This window comes from Homo sapiens, chromosome 17, assembly GCF_000001405.40.
Source record: "Homo sapiens chromosome 17, GRCh38.p14 Primary Assembly".
Taxonomy (NCBI): Eukaryota; Metazoa; Chordata; class Mammalia; order Primates; family Hominidae; genus Homo; species Homo sapiens.
This window is the reverse complement of record NC_000017.11, coordinates 44,748,118-44,754,467: the sequence shown is the minus strand read 5'-3', so window position 1 is coordinate 44,754,467 and position 6,350 is coordinate 44,748,118. Positions and strand designations below refer to the sequence as shown.

Below are 6,350 nucleotides of genomic sequence, written 5' to 3'. Positions count from 1 at the left end.
CCTGGCACCCGGCCTCGGCTAGACCTCTTGCCTCTCCCTTGATCACAGTCCCCAGTCCCTGAGGTTCCACCTCCCCTGTCTCATGCTTGCCTCAGCTCTCTTAGGAGCTGTGGGATCCCCACACAGAAAGCTTGCTTCACGTTCTTTCACCCACCGTCCCTCCTGAGGTCAGGGCTGTCTGTTTTCTCATTGGTGGCCCTTCATCAGACTGGGACTTCAGAAGAGCAGGGCTTGTCCTCCTCATCAGACCTGACCCTGATAGCAAGGGCTGTTTTCTGCTTAGATCGGGGCAGGCCTGTGTCTCCCCCTCAAACATAGGGTTCCCTGGGGGGCCCCACCTCAACTTCATAGCTATGGCTGGCTCCTTCGGTCCATCCATTGAGGCTGGGGCCACTATTTCTGCTGCCCTGATGCCACTCTTGGGGTTGCTCTTGCTGAGGGAGCTGTGGGGCCCTGAGGGGTGGGTCTCTGGCCTCCCTTAGGAAGCCCCTTCCCTAGGAGGCCGGAGCCTCCTTCCTTCTGCTGCTCTTCTAGCTCTTTAGCCGGTTCTCTCAAATTTTCCTGCATAAGGGCCAAGTTGGGGATGCAGGGCCAAGACCTTGTCTCCGCAACTCCAGGTAAGGGAGAGGTCCTGGTTGCCCCCAGCCCTGGGGTGATACCACCGGCAGTGATTCCTGCCAGTGGAGGCCGTCCAGGCCTGGTGACCAGCCTTAAGTCCTGCAGCACAGACCATGCTAGTCAAGGGGGCAGGATTCAGGTCTCCAGGCTGGGGTCCCAATCCTGCCTCCCCCACAAACTGGCTGTGTGACCTTGAGCAAGCCCGCTGGCCTCTCTGGGCCTTGGTTTCCTCATCCACGACACAGGGGTTAGAAAACCACCCCCCTCACAGTGCTCCTCTCGGGGATGATGGCTGAGCTGCCCATGCTTGGAGCAGCGTCTGGCACATGAAAGGGGCTCAGTCACCCTGGGCTCGCACCGTCCAAGGCGCCGAGGAGCAAACCGGCTCCCTGGCCCTTGCCCAGGACCCCAGGCCTCTCTATGGCTTGGGGTCCTCGGGGTCCTCTCTCTACCCAGCACAGAGAGAACCTGTGCCTGATGTCGTGATGTGGAGGGGTGGCAGCAGGGGAAGTGCCTAGCATTTGGACAGGAAGTTCATCCTGCTTCCTCTTAGATGCCAGCCCAGGGTCCAAGGACCGTTCTTCTCATCTGCATAGCTCTCCCGGGAAACCTCATGCTCCTCCCTCTCAGGCGTCCAAGTGGCCCCTCTTTTAATCTCTGAAGCTCTCAGGCTTCACCAAGGGAGGAGTTGGGGGCACCTGGGGCACCAGGATCCCAGGCACACTCATCCTTTGGGAGGTCTGTGGGGCACAAATACAGTCACACCCATAAGGGCCCAAGTGCCACTTCTTTTCCACAAAAGGGATCCTCCTGGAGCTCAGGAGAGGGCCCTTGGGAGGGGGCCTGGGACAGGGGGTCTCACAGTGCCCCTCAGCAGCTTCATCCACAAATGCTCACCCGAGATGAGGACGCCAGTTACCAAGGGACACTGCCAGGTGGGAATTAGTGAGAATAAGCTTTATGTAAGTTTAGGAGGGAGGCCTCACAGGCATGTGTGCCTGTGGGTAATATGTTATTTGTTGAGACAATGTGCCAAGCTCTGTGCCACATACCTCACAAACACATCTGATTTCACTCTTGTGATTTCCTAGCGAGGTAGCAACTATGATTATCTCCATTTTTCGTATTTATTTATTTATTTATTTATTTTCGAGACAGTCTCGCCCTGTTGCCCAGGCTGGAGTGCAGTGGCACAATCTCGGCTCACTGCAACCTCTGCCTCCCAGGTTCAAGTGATTCTCCTGCCTCAGCCTCCCGAGTAGCTGGGATTACAGGCATGCCAGCATGCCCGGCTAACTTTTGTATTTTTAGTAGAGATGGGGTTTCACTATGTTGGCCAGGCTGGTCTCGAACTCCTGACCTCAAATGATCCGCCCGCCTCAGCCTCCCAAAGTGCAGGGATTACAGGCGTGAGCCACCGTGCCCAGCCTAGATTACCTCCATTTTTTAGATCAAGAAAACAGTTTGAGCTGGGCACAGCTGAAACTCCCCTGGGAAGGGGAGCCAAGATCCAGGATGAGAAGGAGTGCTCGGGTATACAGCACTCCTGCTGGTGGCAGGATAGGGAAAGACATAAAAGATTTGCTGGCAGTCACAGTATTTTATTATTGGAAAGGGTCCTGAAATCATCTCATCCAAGCCCCTTACTTAAAGACGAGGAAACTGAGGCCCGAGTAATAAAGGCATTTTTCTGAGGTCACAGTGAGTTGGAGGCAGCTAGCTCCTGCATTCCACCCAGCAGAAGGGAGTTGGGGTGGAGCTACCAATCGGTCACATCTGCCGAGAAGTGAAAGGCTCAGCGAGAAGAGGCAAGAACAAAGGCCTGGGGACCTAGTCTGAGTAAAGTAGTTAGGGCTGGAGGGCTCTTCAGGTGTCTCGGAGCTGACTCAGGGCAGACGGCAAGGCCTGTGCTGAATGAACGAACGAGGGAATGGGCAATGGTGAGGAAGGGCAGGGGGACAGGAGAACCAGGCCACTGAGGGGCTGCTGCGACCAAGGGAGCCAGGCTTCAAGGAGGAAAGAAAGGAGAAAAGGAACCAACTTTGGTCACCAGTAGCCTGTCCATGACCTTGGAATAGATGATCTTAGTGGAATGCTTCAGGCAGAGCTACCCAGGAAGGAAGTGTGGAAGGGAAGGAGGTGAAGAGGAGGCGGTAGGTATAGACCGCAGGAAGGAGCCAGAGAACAGAAGGTGGGAGCCTTCAAGTATTTGAAGTCGATTTACTGAATCAACTCAAGTGTTTTCCAGGAGAGGAGCATGGCATTTTGGGGCAGAGGGGAAAGGTGGCAAGTCTGAGAAGGAAACCAACAAGAGTGGTTGGCGAGGTGGGCTGGAGGGCCAGGGACAGACAGTGTGACTTGTGGAGGGAGGACACCTCTTCAGAAAGAAACGGCAACATGTTGAAAAGGGACTGACTGCAAGATAAGGCAATGCCCACTGGGTCTGGGTAAAAGTCATCTGGTGCGATGTGGAAAGGGGGCTGGAGTGGAAAGGAGTCTGAGCAGTGCTCACGCCAAGGAGCCACTGCGGGACCTCATTCACATCAAGCAGCACCCATCCATCCTGGGTCAAGTCTCAGGTGTTCTGGGTTCACCTCTAACCTGAGTCTACAGCCAGGAAGCCGCAATGGAGAAATGGCTGAGGAGTGTTCCAGCCTTGGGGTTTGGCCTGGCAGAGATGTCCAAGGTCATGATCATTGAGATAGGAGGGGAAGGCAAGGGTACACGGATGTGAGGTTCGGGGAATGGGTCCTGCAGTTGACAATGAGGGCACCCGAACCCGGCACCACAGGCTTTGTGTGAGCAGCAGGTAAAGGTATCCAAGTCTGAGACAGGGGCAAGGGGAAACTTCCTCATGCAGAGGGGTGGTGTCATGGGGAATGAGGCAACCCCATGTCACAAAAGGAAAGGGACGAACCCAGCAGCGTGCAGACATAAGCCACGGTCTGGCTTCAGGGAAGAGGAGTGGGCCCTTAACAGGAATGTCCGCCGGGGCAAAGGAGTTTTCTTGGGAGGGATGGAGGGGCATGTCCTCTGCAGGCGACCACTCCCCAGGCAGCAGAGCCAAGGAAGTGACCAGATGAGACTGGGTAAAGGAGGCTGGGCAGGGACAGAGGCAGCCCTGCTCCCTGGAGCCCTTGGGCAAGGCCGGCAGGAGGGTTGTGGCACTCACACATGTGTGACTTGCAGGAGGTCCCATCACACCATCTAGTGATTCTGTCCATCGCTGCTGGCCCGCAGCCCTGCCTTGGGTCACTGGAGGGCAGATCAAGGACCGACATATGGCATTCCAGCCCCATCTCTTTGCTATTTGTAATTAACAAATTTATTTACATTTCCTGAACCAAAATTAATTGTAAAATTTAACAGGAAGGGGGTAACATGACCTCTAAGGTGGGCTGTACACATAGTTGCTCTATTTCCAAACTAATAACTTGAGTCCTCACCCATAGCTGGGCCCCCCCTTCTTCCTTTGAAAGGAGACACAGAATAGCATCAGGCTTCCGGAAGCTTCAACATTTAAAGAGACAACTCTTTAAATGCACGGACGCAGAGAAGGGTGAGAAGAATCACGGTACAAATTGTAATGAAAGAAAAAGTGGCCAGAGAATCGATAGCAAACCCATTTCTGTCTCCAGATTAATGGCTTGGCTGCCAGAAATGGGGGGAGGTCCTTGGGGAAGGAGAGGAGGGAGCGAGGGAGGAGGGTGATGTGGAAGTTGGCAGGTGACACACTGGCCCCGGAACAGCCGAACTTCGGGCAGGCAGCTCAAGCTGAGGAGGCAGAGAAGGGGCGAGAGGGGTCCCAGAGGGGGCTCTGGCCACATCCTGGGCTCAGGGGAAAGGTCAGTGCTGGGCCCCAACTAAGTGCCTGGGGGAGGGAGCTCTGTGAGTGGTGCAGCCCAAGCCCCTCCTCTGCTTCATATGTTCCTGAGGATCTGTGTGCGGGAGCGTGGGGGGCTGGGGGAGGGGACAAACACAGTCATTTTGGAAAGCAGGAGCGGCCACATGCTCGTGAGAAAGGAGGCCGGGGTTGGGGGTGGAGCACACCAACAGCTAACCCGCGGCTCTGCAGAGAGGCAAGGGCCTGTGGAGGGCCAGGAAGCCGGGCCAGGACTCCTGCTGCCCCAGCTCCTTTGTGGTCCCTCCCCATGCCAACTTCGCCTCTGCCTCCTGGCGTGGGCGGCCAGCCTCAGCTGGGCAAGCCCACTGTAGACTCTGCCTGGTCAGGAACATGGCAGGAGGCAGGGGTAGGAGAGGGCAGCCCCCAGCCCAGATTCTCTCCCAAAGACCTGGCCAGTGGGAGGGGTGGCTCTGTCAGCTCCATGGAGCTGAGCGTGACAGCTGCTTGCTGGACTTCAAAGGCCAGGCCCGGGCCTCCTTCTAGCTCTTTTGGGGAAGTCCTGGGGTTCTGCCCCTCCTGCGTCCTGGTCAGCCCTGGCCGGGTGTGCAGCACCCAGCAGAGGAGTAAGTTGTATCTGTGGCCCTTCAATCTGGAGCTGCCTGGCCCTGTGAAGAGCCAAGCACCTTGGGGACTCGTAGGAGCAGCTCTCTGCCAGCATGGGGCTGGGGCTGGGGCTGGGGTTGGGACCAGGGCTGGGAGACAGGGAGACAGGGCACCTGGAGAGGCTGGGGGGCCCAGAGGCATCGGGAACAGCTGGCTCCCGCACTGGCTGGCAGGGGCTGCAGGAGGGAGGTAGACCTGCTCTCTACAGGTGCTCCCGAGGGCTGCACACTGGTAGCTGAGTACAGGGGAGCTGATGGCCAGCCTGGAGCTGTGGGGCAGCTGAGGAGCTGGCCAGCCTCCTGGGATACAGGGCCAGTGGCTGTACACTCAGAATCCTCAGGCCCTGGGGGCCACCCTTTCCCCAGCCAGGAGGGCTGTGTGGCCCAGAACTCTGCTGGTCTGTCTGTGGGCTGCCAGGGGAAGGGGTCTGGGAGAGAGAGGCAGGTCTGTGAGTGGCACAAGGGCTGGAGGGAGGCGAGGAGCCTGGACTCATGGCCTGTAAGGGGAAGAGAGGGAAGACGCTTGCCACTAGTTGTCCTGGTGCCGCAGGGGTTGGGGGCTATTGGGACAAAAAATGAAGCCTGTGGCCAGGAGGCCCCCACTCTCTTCTTAGCACTGCCACTGGGGAACTGAACCTTCCGCTTGTGGCCAAAAAGTGCCAGGTCTGGGCCAGAGGAGAGTTCCATAAAACCAGAGCTAGGCAGGAGGCATTGGCAAGCAGGGCTCCTGGACACTGGTATCCCTGGGGGGTCCACAAACACATCAACTGACACCCCCAGGTCCTGGCAGCTTGCTATAGGTCCAGGTACCTCACCAGTCCCTGCACGTTCAGCTGGTGCCTGCGTGCTGTCCACTGTCCCATCCTGCTCTGGGATACCTGATGCCTGGCAGCTGTCTTCTTTCCTTATCCTGGGAGATGCTGCCCTGGGATGGGAGGGCTGATGGGGGTGCAGAGTCTCAGGACAGAGAGGGTCACAATCAGAAGCTGGGGAACCTGACCACCTGTTGGGACAGAAACACTGTGAGCTGCAGGTTTCAACTTCACAGCAGGCCTGGGCCAGGGCTGAGGGCACAGGGAGAGCTGCCACAGCTGGCGGTTCATGTGCCGAGAGAGCTGCCTTCTCTGAGGCCCTGTGTGAAAGTCCTCCTGTTTGGGTCTAACCTGCCGCAGCAACCAGCACTGTGTGCACTTCTCTTGGCTCTGCAGCCTGTGGTTGGGGCCGGC

At 57.3% G+C, this 6,350-nt stretch overlaps 1 protein-coding gene across 24 annotated transcripts in view, besides 1 other annotated feature; it reads right to left on the bottom strand.

Annotated features, from left to right (window-relative positions):
- Nucleotides 908-1,408: an enhancer, noted in NCBI's record as "H3K4me1 hESC enhancer chr17:42830428-42830928 (GRCh37/hg19 assembly coordinates)". NCBI's record gives its function as "activates a minimal SCP1, AML or CMV promoter by ChIP-STARR-seq in primed H9 embryonic stem cells {active_cell/tissue: H9 hESC(primed)}" and the evidence as "EXISTENCE:reporter gene assay evidence [ECO:0000049][PMID:30033119]".
- The window catches only part of DBF4B (DBF4B-CDC7 kinase regulatory subunit), a 43,600-nt gene continuing 39,453 nt past the window's right edge, over nt 2,204-6,350 (bottom strand). For 12 of the 24 annotated variants that reach the window (NR_036623.2, XM_006722098.4, XM_047436814.1 and 9 more), the window contains one exon: nt 3,921-6,127. Coding sequence is in view for 21 of the 24 variants with exons in the window: in XM_006722098.4 (XP_006722161.1) it covers nt 5,107-6,127 (1,021 nt within the window). In the remaining 3 variants the exon portion in view is untranslated. Of the gene's footprint in view, nt 3,874-3,920; nt 6,128-6,350 lie in introns of those variants that run through there. The other 12 variants (NR_148206.2, NR_148207.2, XM_047436820.1 and 9 more) reach the window with 3 other exon arrangements.